Source organism: Homo sapiens, chromosome 5 (assembly GCF_000001405.40).
Source record: "Homo sapiens chromosome 5, GRCh38.p14 Primary Assembly".
Lineage (NCBI taxonomy): Eukaryota > Metazoa > Chordata > Mammalia > Primates > Hominidae > Homo > Homo sapiens.
The window spans coordinates 112,735,103-112,747,881 of NC_000005.10; the positions used below are offsets into that span (position 1 = coordinate 112,735,103).

The 12,779-nt window shown below is 36.4% G+C and overlaps 1 protein-coding gene across 37 annotated transcripts in view; it reads left to right on the plus strand.

The window, feature by feature from the left end:
• APC (APC regulator of Wnt signaling pathway) overlaps window positions 1–12,779 on the plus strand; it is a 138,742-nt gene that overhangs the window by 27,605 nt on the left and 98,358 nt on the right. For 11 of the 37 annotated variants that reach the window (NM_001354906.2, NM_001407471.1, NM_001354896.2 and 8 more), the window contains exon 1: window positions 2,783–2,823. The exons of 19 other annotated variants lie outside the window; for them this stretch is intronic. Coding sequence is in view for 3 of the 18 variants with exons in the window: in NM_001407451.1 (NP_001394380.1) it covers window positions 3,299–3,358 (60 nt within the window). In the remaining 15 variants the exon portion in view is untranslated. Of the gene's footprint in view, window positions 1–2,782; window positions 2,824–3,250; window positions 3,359–12,779 lie in introns of those variants that run through there. 7 more of the 37 variants (NM_001407449.1, NM_001127510.3, NM_001407455.1 and 4 more) reach the window with 1 other exon arrangement.

Sequence of the window (12,779 nt, forward strand, 5' to 3'; positions counted from 1 at the left end):
GAAAATAAGAGATATGTTTGTCAGTGCGGTCTTTAAACAGTGTTACACAATTTATTTCTGTTTCATTTTGATCAGAAAAAATATATATATCTTTTGAGACATGGTCTCTGTTGCACAGGCTGGAGTACAATGGCGAGATCTCGGCTCACTGCAACCTCTGCCTCCTGGGTTCAAGTGATCCTCCCACCTCAGCCTCTAGAGTAGCTAGGACCACAGGCGCGTGTCACCACAGCTGGCTAATTTTTTTGTATTCTTGGTAGAAATGAGGTTTCGCCATGTTGCCCATGCTGGTCTCCAACTCCTGAGCTCAAGTGAACTGGCCACCTCGGCCTCCCAAATTCCTGGGATTATAGGCATGAGCCACTGCACCCTGCCCAGAAAATATTTTTAATGCATACATATATATATATATATATGTATATGTAGTGTAAATAACATCTTCAATCAAATAGAGATGGCAGGAGCTTTATTCTGAGCTATGTGCAAACTTGATAAGACAAGGTAATGCTTCAGTAATTTTCCATGCTGAAATTTGGCCCAGTATACTTTGATTATATATCTATATTTAATTATAGTTTTAAAATAGCTAAGCAGTTTTAAAAATTCAAATTAAACTTTTGTGGAATCTCTAAAAATAAGAAAAATATTACTGAGTAATTGGCAACATAAAATACAAAATGTTTAACTTGGCTTTCTTTTAGATTTGAAGCATAGTGACTAATGAACATATAATGGTCGTAGCTTTCTTTACAACTATGTCATTTAAGTCACTGATGAATATCTATGATACATGCAGTAAAAATTTAGACAAACATTTTGGCTACAAACTGGTTTACTAAATAATAGCTTGTATCATAGTCTGAGTCAAGAGTAATAGGCTTACAATTGTGTCTTAGGGTACTAAGAAGTTCTTTTGAGGACCTTTTAAAAGGTATTCTTTGTTTTGAAAGACTGTTTTCCTTCTGGAAGTTCTAGGCCTTATGAGAAATTACCTATTCTGAATTTGTCACAAAAAATGACTTGTAAATAAGTCCTGTGCAGTGAATCATGTGCTTTCAGTAAGAGGATTTTGAAAGCCTTTTGTAAAATGAAGTCATTCTCAAAAGAGAGTTATTTAGAATATAATCAAATTGATTTACATGCTTTTATTTATTTCAAATATGAAGGGAAATTGTTTCTAAATATATTTAAACTTTTAATAGAACAGTAGTATGCCATCAGTGTGGAAATAACTCACTTGTTAAATAAATATTTGGGGTGTATTTGCTGTATATCAGGCATTGTAACACAGGGACTAATGAAAGAGAAAAAAAACAAAGCACGAAAGGACAGCAGAAATAGCTCCATAATCTCACTTTCCAGGAATAACCTCTATGGACATTTTGTTGTGTGTCTATTGCTTTTCTAATATATACATTTTTTAATCAAATGGAATTGCCTCAAATATGCTATTTAATAGCTTGCTTCTTTTCATACTATTTGAAAATTAAGAAACGATTATAATATGCTTCATTTAAAAACTTTAAGTTTAGGCCGGGCACAGTGGCTCACGCATGTAATCCCAGTACTTGGAGGGACCGAGGTGGGCGGATCACAAGGTCAGGAGATTGAGACCATCCTGGCCAGCATGGTGAAACCCCGTCTCTACTAAAAATACAAAACTTAGCTGGGCATGATGGCACGTGCCTGTAGTCCCAGCTACTTGGGAGGCTGAGGCAGGAGAATCGCTTGAACCCGGGAGGTGGAGGTTGCAGTGAGCGGAGATTGCACCACTGCACTCGCCTGGTGACAGAGCAAGACTCTATCTCAAAAAACAAACAAAGAAAACTTGAAGTATAGTATCCTTTTAAATTTTAAATAGATAATAGAAACTGGTTTCCCCCCATTTAAACCAGAATTTAAGTTTAACTTTATATATTCTTGACAGTTTGGATTTTGTCCTTCAACCTCATAAAATTGGGAATTTAAGCATCACCTGGTTCGATTTAAATGCAATGTAGAATTTGCATTAAAATACTACATTAAAGCCTCAGATTTGTAGTAGCTAACAGCACTTCTATGTATGTGTCAGGGACTGCTCTAAATACTTCATATATATTAACTCCTCTATTCTGTACTTCTGTTCCCGTTTTATACAGCAGGAAATTGAAACACTGAGAGGTTAAGTAACTAAAGTTACAGAGCTAGAGTGACAGGAGTAAAGCTTCAACTCAGGCAACCCAGACTTCCAGAGTTCTGATCTCCACTACTAAGCTGCTAGCATAGCTTTTCTGGTAACTATTTTTAATTCAAATATAATTCGAGTGATCTATCTAACAAGTCATCACTCTGACAACTCAGTGACTTGTAATGTAAAATTATTCATTGTAATTCATTTAATATTATTGTTTCTCTGTGCTGCAAAAATCATAGCAATCGAGATGTAATTTATTACTCTCCCTCCCACCTCCGGCATCTTGTGCTAATCCTTCTGCCCTGCGGACCTCCCCCGACTCTTTACTATGCGTGTCAACTGCCATCAACTTCCTTGCTTGCTGGGGACTGGGGCCGCGAGGGCATACCCCCGAGGGGTACGGGGCTAGGGCTAGGCAGGCTGTGCGGTTGGGCGGGGCCCTGTGCCCCACTGCGGAGTGCGGGTCGGGAAGCGGAGAGAGAAGCAGCTGTGTAATCCGCTGGATGCGGACCAGGGCGCTCCCCATTCCCGTCGGGAGCCCGCCGATTGGCTGGGTGTGGGCGCACGTGACCGACATGTGGCTGTATTGGTGCAGCCCGCCAGGGTGTCACTGGAGACAGAATGGAGGTGCTGCCGGACTCGGAAATGGGGTAGGTGCTGGAGCCACCATGGCCAGGCTTGCTGCGGGGGGAGGGGGGAAGGTGGTTTTCCCTCGCACTGTCTTAAACCGATGGCCTTTCCTTGGCACAGGGTCCACTGCAGCATGCCAAACGAGGAGGCAGGGGCGTCGTCCCCCCGCCCCCCACTGCAGCACTGGAGATGGATTTCCTGTACTTCGGATCCAGGGTTTTTGACAGAAGAGGAAGAAGGGGGAGGGGTAGAAGTGTTAAGGGGAGTCTGCTGAGAAAAGCTGTTTTTGAAGCCAGAAGGGGTTTTTGTTTTTATAATGCCATTTGACAGAGTGGAATAACAGTATCTAAGGAAACGGGTAGAGGACAACAAAGAATGGAGCATATTCATGGCGAGGAGCAAAAGCTCTACCCCATTGAAAGGCTTCTTTTCCTCCCTGGCGACAAGGACACATGCATTGGTGGCCAAAAGAGAGAGGAGACAAAACCGCTGCAGATGGCTGATGTGAATCTAGTGGAAAGAGCTACTGGGGATGAGAGAAAGAGGAGGAGGCAGGTACTGCAGAGCGTGAGTGGTGGTGTTGGTTGGTGAAATACTGGTCACCAGTAGTGTGCCTGCTTTTGTAAAACATCTAAGTAAACTCCCTGTGAACAGGGTGGCAAACAGATACCAGTGTCTTTGTTAGTTACAAAATGCAGTGGTAGTGGCTTTTTGCGGACGACTGCAGCAGTGCTTTTTCTCCCTCTGTTAGGCCGAAAAGACAACTGCAGAGGAATAAGAAACCTTGCAGCAAATGCTGGGGTAGAAGCCCATTTACAAGAAGCCATAGTTTATAAATGCAGCCTGAACAGCAGAAAAAAAATTACTGTTTTTTAAAGTAGGAATAATGTCAGGCTATGAATGTTTTGTCATTGGAATGTATTGGACACTTTGATTCTACATCACGAAAGTGATGCTCAAATTCTTTGATTTAACATAAATCCTATACGAAATCTTAATAAATTATGTATGAAACAGTGGATCTTTTCTTTTGTTAGTGAAGCTTTTATGCCATTAATTAGGTCATTCAAGAGCAAACCACTTTACAACGTAAATTACTTTGTCAAAAATTATGGTGAACAAATTTTTGTAGGCCTAATATTTAAGACCTATAGTTAAGTAATTTTATATTTCTCTTTGGTTGCTTTTAGATAACACTGAATAAATATTTAAGATATTAATTCAGTGTGCAAATATTTTAAATTAAAGCAACATGGCTTTTCTTCTAGATGTATTTCTGTTTAGTGAGTACTCATGAGATATACTCTTGATATAAAGTGTTTTTCATTGAGCTTTTTTTTCCTTTACCTAAATGTAAAAGCCTATCTTTATGCATACTTATAGTAGCCAGCCTGCCACACCTCCCCACTCCCTGAACAAGGATGGCAGTGGCTTTGTAAAGCCCTCCAGGGTCAGTGACAGTGTCTCTTAAATAATGTTTATGTAATAGAAAGTCTTAAGATGACCTATTATATTGTTTCAGTAATATTTTCAAGATAATGCGGAATTGGGCTGGCTTAGATAAATAAGACTACATAAGTTTTTCACTGATAAATTTAAATAGTTCTTTAAAAAATTATTTCTGCTTTAAGAATTACTTGATCATGGATATCAGGGTTAATAGTACTTAGGAGCCGGGCGTGGTGGCCCATGCCTGTAATACAAGCTAAACAGGAGGCTGAGGGAAGCTGAGGCAGGAGGATCACTTGAGCCTTGGCGTTCAAGACCAGCCTGGGCAACCAAGCAAGACCCTATCTCAAAAAAAAGTACTTAGAGTCTCTTTTTTAAAATCTGATGGAAACTATGGCTAGAACTAAAGATGTCACATTAAAATTCCAAATGACATTTAACAGCTAATATTACTCAGTTCTTTGAATTCCATTAGCATAGTGTTTGAGAGTCTATAAAACTATTATTTTTACATAAATTACCTTTTACCATTTTAACAGCTCATTGTAGCATTATTTTTATTTTAAATGTTAGAGACTCCTATTCAAGTATGTTGTGACTTTATCCAAGGTCAAATATTGTATAACAATGTAAAGAACTTAAGTCTTCTATTTTATTCTAATTCTATAAAACTATAATGCCTTTTATTACATACATACAAAATAATATATAACAGAGGTAATTTGAAAAACAGTGTAAGTCACTGACAAATTATTCAAAAAATGAAAAGGCAATCCTACTTGGTTGTGGATTTTTATCTACAATATAAGAATGCTTTAAAAAATACCTGGTGACTAAGCAAATGGAGAAGCAGCAGTTTTCATAATGACATTCATAAACGACTTTTTAAAGATCGTCTTATTAATCATATGAACACATTTAAGTAGAACAGTGTTAGATTGAGATGTTTTTCTGAATTAAATAAGAAATAAAGAACTAAAGTTTATTTCATTCCTCTTGTAGTATATCTAATCTATGACTGACCTATTGGCTTTAGTGGTCTTTGAAATTATTCACTGCTCTGATATGGCCTGAATTGTGCTGTTTAAGGAATTTAAAATTAAATATTCATAAATGTTTTATGAACTGAATTTAAGCTATTGAAGTTTTTGTTTTTTGTGTTTTTTTTTCTTTTTTTTTTTTTTTTTTTGAGACAGGGTCTCACTTTGTCAACCCAGGCTGGCGTGCAGTAGCAAACATGGCTCACTTGCAGCTTCAACCTCGCAGGCTCAAGTGATGCTCCCACTTCAGCCCTCCAGGTAGCAGGGACTACAGGCACATACCACCGTGCACAGCTAATTTTTATATTTTTTGTAGAGATGGGGTTTCACCATGTTGCCCAGGGTGGTCTCGAACTCGTGAGCTCAAATGATCCTCCCACCTCAGCCTCCCAAAGTGCTGGGATTTACAGGTGTGAGCCACCATGAAGTTTTTCCATTTGCATTAATTGCTCTGTAGATTTTACCATTTTTGTCTGTTTTATAAACTGTTACTCATTTTATGAAATTTAACCAATCTTTTATACTTGTATATGTTTAAATGATCTTTTATACTTGTATATGTTTAAATGTTCTCTTCAATTTTGATCTCCCTTCTCCCCCTTTTCTTGTATTAGAATCTGAAACCTACCTATGCAGCACATAAAATGGGATAGAGTATTATGGTTCAGAAAAGATGGGTAATAGTTTAGGAAATATATTCACTACATATTTATTAGGATACCTTCTAAATATCATCTTTGAAAAATGCTGGAGTCAAATAAGACACGTAAACTAATCTCTAAGAAAACTCATGGTAGAATTATGTGAAATTTCATTACAAGTTAAACACTGCTTTGGCTACTCCTAGGATATTTAAAGATTTATATAATCTAAGATATCCTCTAATTTAGAAGAATATGGTGGATTGCTGTTTGAAACACTGCTTTTTCATAAAATCTGCTTAGAGTCACAGAGAATTTTTGAAAACTAAATTACTTTTGAAGTACTAAGTATCTTGAATGTACAATGAGAACATTAGGTGAATAGGTATGTTCTCAAAAGTTGACTTTGTAAATCAAATCATACATCATCAGTTGATACAAGGTAAGCCTTCTCCCCTTTATTCTCACACCCTGCACCCACTCTTCTTGTGTGTTTAATATGCATAAATTCTTGAGAAATAGCATCATTTTGTGAGTCTGTTTTTTACAGTTAATGAGATTTTTAAAAAAATTTTATTGTGATAAATATACATAAAATTTACCATCTTAAGCACTTTTAATTGTACAGTTCTGTGGCATTAAGTTCATTCACATTGTTGTGCAACCATCACCACCACCCATCTCTAGAAATTTTTAATCTTCCCTAATTAAAACTCTGTGCACATTAAACACTAACATGCCATTTTCCCCTCCCCCCAACCCTTGGCAACCACCACTCCACTTTTTGTCTCAAAGAATTTGACTATTCTGGGAACCTCTAATAAGAAAAACCATTTAATATTTATTCTTTTGCACCTGGCTTATTTCACTTAGCATAATGTCTCGAAGGTTCATCCATACTGTAGCCATGTGTCAGAATTTCTTTCCTTTTTAGGTCTAAATGATGTTCCATTGCATGTATATGCCACATTTTGTTCATTCATCTGTCAGTGGACACTTCAGGTTGTTTCCACCTTTTGTCTATCATGAATAATGCTACTATGAACGTGGGTGTGCAAGTGTCTGCTTGGGTTTTACTTTTTTTGTGTGTACTCAAACCTGTGTTTTTAATTTACATAATTTTTGAACATTATTAACTCAATACTGTTTTTAAGATCTATCCATTTTACTTTATGTCCATCTAGTTTGTGATGCTAACTCTGCTCTATAGTATTCTATAGTACCTATCACTGTTCCTCCAGTGAAGGCCGTAAGTTTTCTCCAAATCCCGTTAACCACAAACACCTTTATGATATACATTCTTATACATATCTCCTTGGACTATGTTATTTATGTATTTCTGTATAACAAATTGTACCAAAACTTAGTGGCTTAAACAGTTTCTGTGGGGCAAGAATTCAGGAATGTCTTAGTTGGATGGTCTGACTGAGGCAGGATCTCTTATGAAGTAGCAGTCACGATGTCAGTCACAGATACAGTCATCTGAAGGGCTTGACTAGACTGACGGATCTTCTTCCAAGATGGCTAACTCACATAGTCTCAGTTTTTCATTGGCTATTGGCAAGAGACCTCAGTTCCTTGTCACGTGGGCCTCTCCATGGGGCTGCTTGAATGTCTTCATGACATAGCAGCTGGCTTCCCTCAATGATTCTAACAGAAAGGCCATTTATGACCTAGACTCAGAAGCCACACACCATTGCTTCTGCTGTATTCTCTTTATTAGATATGAGTCACTAAGTCCAGCCCACCAAAGAGAGGAATTAGGATCCACCTCTTAAAGGAGTAGGGTCAAAGAATTTATGATATATTTTAAGATCATTACATCGACCAGTGAAACAGTTTCACTGGATTTATCCCTAGGAGAGGGATCACTGGATAATAAGGGCATTGTTTCCTATTGCTGTTGTAACAAATTAACACAAACTTAGTGGTTTAAGAGAACACAAATGTATTATCTTGCAGTCCTGGAGATCAGACACGGTTTTCACTGGACCAAAATCAAGATATCAGTGGCTCTGCGTCTCCTCTAGAGATTCTATTGAAGAATCCATTTTCTTGCTTTTCTTCAGCTTCTTGCATTCCTTGTCTCATGGCCTCTTTCTCCATCTTCAGTGCCAGCAGCATTCTAAATCTCTCTCTGAATCTGACCCTCTGCTGCTCTTGTCACATATTCTTCTCTGACCCTTCTGCCTCCTTCTTAAAAGAACCTTTGTGATTACATTGGGTCCACCCAGATAATCCAGGAAAATCAGCTTCAAGATCTTTAACTTAATCACATCTGCAAAGTTCCTTTAGCCACATAAGGTAACACATTCATAAGTTTTGGGGACTAGGATTTGGCCATCTTTGTGGGGCCATACACAGGCATACTCATCTGGTTCTCCATTTTTTTTAAGCTGAAGGATTTTTTTAGTTATTTTTACTTTTGCGAATGTGTGTTACTTTCTTTTGGTAATTTCAGATTTTCATTTACCAAGTTTATTTAAAGCATAGTATAATATATAATGATCACCAAGATGGTAAGCAGATATTCATTGTTCAATTAGATTCTTGATTTTATCATCACTTAATTTATATCAGTGTATCAGCTACTTCTGACATAGTCTGTAATAGAAACTGAGAAACGTTAAAGCAACACAGCCTTATTAAATTTCTCTTTGTATCTTTTAGACTCGTTATAACACCAGTTCTGTGGGCGCTTTGTTGAAACTTGATCTGTCATTGTCTTACCAGTCATTGAACTTAGGGCCACTCTAATCCAGTATGACCTCATCTCAAACTTGATCCATTTATGAAGACTCTGTCCTCAAATAAGGTCACATTTGACATGACATTTTTTGGTGTTTTTTTGTTTGTTGGTTTTTTTCCCTCTGTTGCGCAGGCTAGAGTAGCTTCTGGGCTCAAGCAGTCCTCCCAACTGAGCCTCCCAAGTAGCTAGGATTACAAACATGTGCCACCACAGCTGACTAATTTTTAATTTTTTTTTCATAAGGAGAGAGTCTCACTATATTGCACAGGCTGGTCTCGAACTCCTGTCTACAAGTGATCCTCCCACCTCAGCCTCCCAGAGTGCTGGGATTACAGGTGTGAGCCACTGTGCTCACACCTGTAACATATCTTTTTATGAAACACAGTTCAACCCATAACACTCCCTTAATACTTGGTACCTTGTGAATAATAAGATACCTAAATATGGTACCTTGTGGATAACAAGGCATATTGTCTTACTTTTTTTATGGAAAAGTCATCTTGGACATTCTCTGAACTTGTGCCCTCTCTTTCTGTTGTCTGCCCTCTGTGGCTGATAATGCACCCTTTCTGTTCATTCTTACGTGTATATTTGTCTTTTATATGGCTGTCGCTGAGTAAAGCATTTTGGGAATTACAAAAGCTAAGTATTAGATATAGACCTTGTCTTCAAGATATTTATGCTCCAGCTGGGAAGACAAAACACCCCAAGGTAAAATGGAATAATTTGAGAAGTTAGGCCAAATTGTATAGTATTTACTGTTCAGCCAGCAGGAAGATTCATTATTGGCTAGAGACATCAGGAAGGTTTTGTGTAAGAAACTGAGCTGGGCCTTAAAGGATGAGGATATATTATAACAGCAGAGGAAAAAAGGATGTGGTATTCAGAAAGGGGAGGAGGTATAAACAAAAATATAAAGGTAAGAAATAGTTTGTAGAGGAAAGTGAGGAGAGACTTACTTGAGGAAGGTTATCTTGGAACTTAATAGGAAATAAGTTTTGAAGGTAGACTATTATCAGATATAATAGATTGTGAACACCAGACAGAAGTTATACAGTCTTTGAGAGCATGAGCATTAAAAACAAGTACAGATTTGAATTCTGGCATAGGCTCTTGATATGTGTTCTTAGGGAAGTTATCTACTGTTTTGGAGTTCCATTTTTCTTAACTCAAAAATGAGTAACACCTACCTCATAGGTGGTTGTGAGGATTAAATGAGTTAATATATAGAAAGCATTTACATTACGTGAGATATTGTAAGTACTAAATAGATATCAGGCTTTCTGAATTTCACATATCAAATACATAAAAAATAAGGGCATATATAGGATTTAAATAATATGCTGGTCAGTTATAGAACTTTATATACTTTTCCTTTTAAAACATTTTTAGTAAAATTTTTATGAAAATTAGTCAAGGCAAACCTTTAAAAATTTTCAGATGGTAACAATTTTATAAGCAATAGTCTTCCATTAATCTAATAAGCAATGTATCAATGACAATAAAAAGATGACTCAAAAAGCCTTATATACCTAACAATTGAGACAGATCTTTGAAGTATCCCCTAGATCAAAGAGGAAATCAAGATGGAAGTCATGAGTTATCTGGAAATAAAGAGGGGAACACTTCATACTAAAACTTGTGGAATGTAGATAAGGCTGTACTAAGAGAAAAATTGATGTCCTTAAAATTTATATTATTAAGGATGAAACGAATAAGTGAATGTTTAAGTAAAGTAAGGAAATAAATGAATTAATATTCACTTTATTATTATTATTATTATTATTATTATTTTTTGAGACGGAGTCTCACTCTGTCGCCGAGGCTGGAGTGCAGTGTTGCAATCTCGGCTCACAGCAACCTCCACCTCAAGCGATTCTCCTGTCTTAGCGACCCCCCCACCCCACACCATAGCTGGGACTACAGGCGGGTGCCACCACGCCCAGCTAATTTTTGTATTGTTAGTAGAGACAGGATTTCACCATGTTGGCCAGGCTGGTCTCAAACTCCTGACCTTGACCTGCCTCGCAAAGTATGGGGATTACACGCGTGAGCCACCACGCCAGCCTTTCACTTTAAATAACTATTAAAAATAACAAAGTAAACCAAAGGAAAATAAGAGGATATAATTAGTAAAGATAAAGAAATTGATAAAATAGAAAATAAAGTAGTGGAAAGTATGTGTTGATGTTTTTGTTTGTTTTGGTAAACACCAATAAAATAAATGAAACCCTAAAAAGTTTAAAGGAATAAAAGGCAAACAGAACATCAGTGAGAAAAGATACCTTCAGATAAAGAATTTTTAAATGACAGAATATATACAACTCTGACAATACATTTGAAAAACTAGAGGAAAGAAATAGTTTACTAGTGAACTATTAATGAATAAAATTAATACAAGATGGAGAAAGCATTAAAAGAGTAAATCACAGAAGAAACTTTAAAATACTTTAAAAAAATCTTAGCTCTAAAATGGCACCTCTTTTGAGTATCCGTCACTTTGATAAGAAAAAAGAAAAAAGGCACCTTCTGATTTGAATTCTAGCTGACTTTCAAAGAATAGACACTATTCAAACTATTCCAGACCATATAAAAAGATGAGATAGCATAAGCTTAATTGAAAACCTTATTTCAAAATACTATAAAAATTTAAAACTATACATTTTCTCTTTAAAAATTCTAAGTGAAATATGGAAAAATCAACAGGCTCGTAAAAGCATAAAACATGAACAACTGGGGTTTATTTCAGGAATGGAGGATAGGTCAACATTCAAAAATCTTATAACTGACTGCATCAAGAAATTAAAAGAGAAACGATATGATTATACAAAAAAGTGCTATTTACGTTCAGCAACCACTACTAACAAAAACTTTAAACTCAAAGGAAAATGCCTAAACATGTTTAAAAAATTTACTGAAATCTGAGTAAGAATATTAAATAGTGAAATAATATGCCATTCTTATTAAAATCGAGAATAAGATAGTTTATTCGACATTTTAAAGTTTCAAGCTAACAATAAAACGTGAAAAAGAAGTGAGGTACAAATGCAGGAAAGAAGAGTCACAAGTATCATCACTTACAGATTATATGATTGCATACCCAGAAAATCCACTGGAAACCCTATTGGAATTCATAGAATCATTTGATAAGGTGGCCACACAAGGGTTATGAGTTAAATAGAATTAGTAGCTTTTATATATACTAGCAATATTTGTTTTTCTTTCTTTCTTTTATTAAGAGAAGGGGTCACACTGCATTACCCAAGCTGGTCTCACTCAAGTGATCCTCCAGCCCCAGCCTTCCAAAGTGCTTGGATTACAGGCATGAGCCACCACACCTGGCCATTAGCAGTATTCGATGTGGGGTGGTGGTGGTCATTCACAGCAACTCAAATAGCCAAAAGCCTAGGGATAAATTTGATGTGAAAGATACAGAGGCATAGGACCTTTTTCTTGAGGGGGGAAAACCCTGGAAAATTTGATTGCAGAGGCTAAATTATTCATGAGATATAGTAAGACTTAGTATGGAAATGTGAGCCTCTCTCAAATTAATATAAATATAGTTACAGTTCTAAGTATGAGAATTGAGCTATAAGAAATACGTTTCCATTCAGTGGAAAAGAAATGGTTTGTTTAATAGTGCTGATGTAATTGCACTGTTTATTACTACTTTCAGTTATCCATATGAAACACAATAAAGTTAGACCACTACACTCATGCCATACACAGCAATAAAAATGCCTTATGAATTAAAGATCTAAATGTAAAGTAAAATTTCTTATTCAAGCTAGTGAATTAATCTCCCAAATTTATCACCTCTTTCGCCTAAGACCCCATTAAAGTGATAGTAAAAACAAAATAAAGATGGGAGCTTACAATGCCATAAAGAGTAAGAGACATTCAAATTGACATTGTAACAAGTTTCTGGAAGATGAAGAAATCGTGGGAATTAAAATGGATCACTGAAAAGAAATCAAGGATTCTAAGACTTCCTAGTTCTCTGTTCTTTCCAACATGGCAGGTTGGAAATTTAGTATTTAAAAGTAAAATACTAATTTTAGTATTAGGAATTTCTCAATGGCCTTTGAAATTATTTG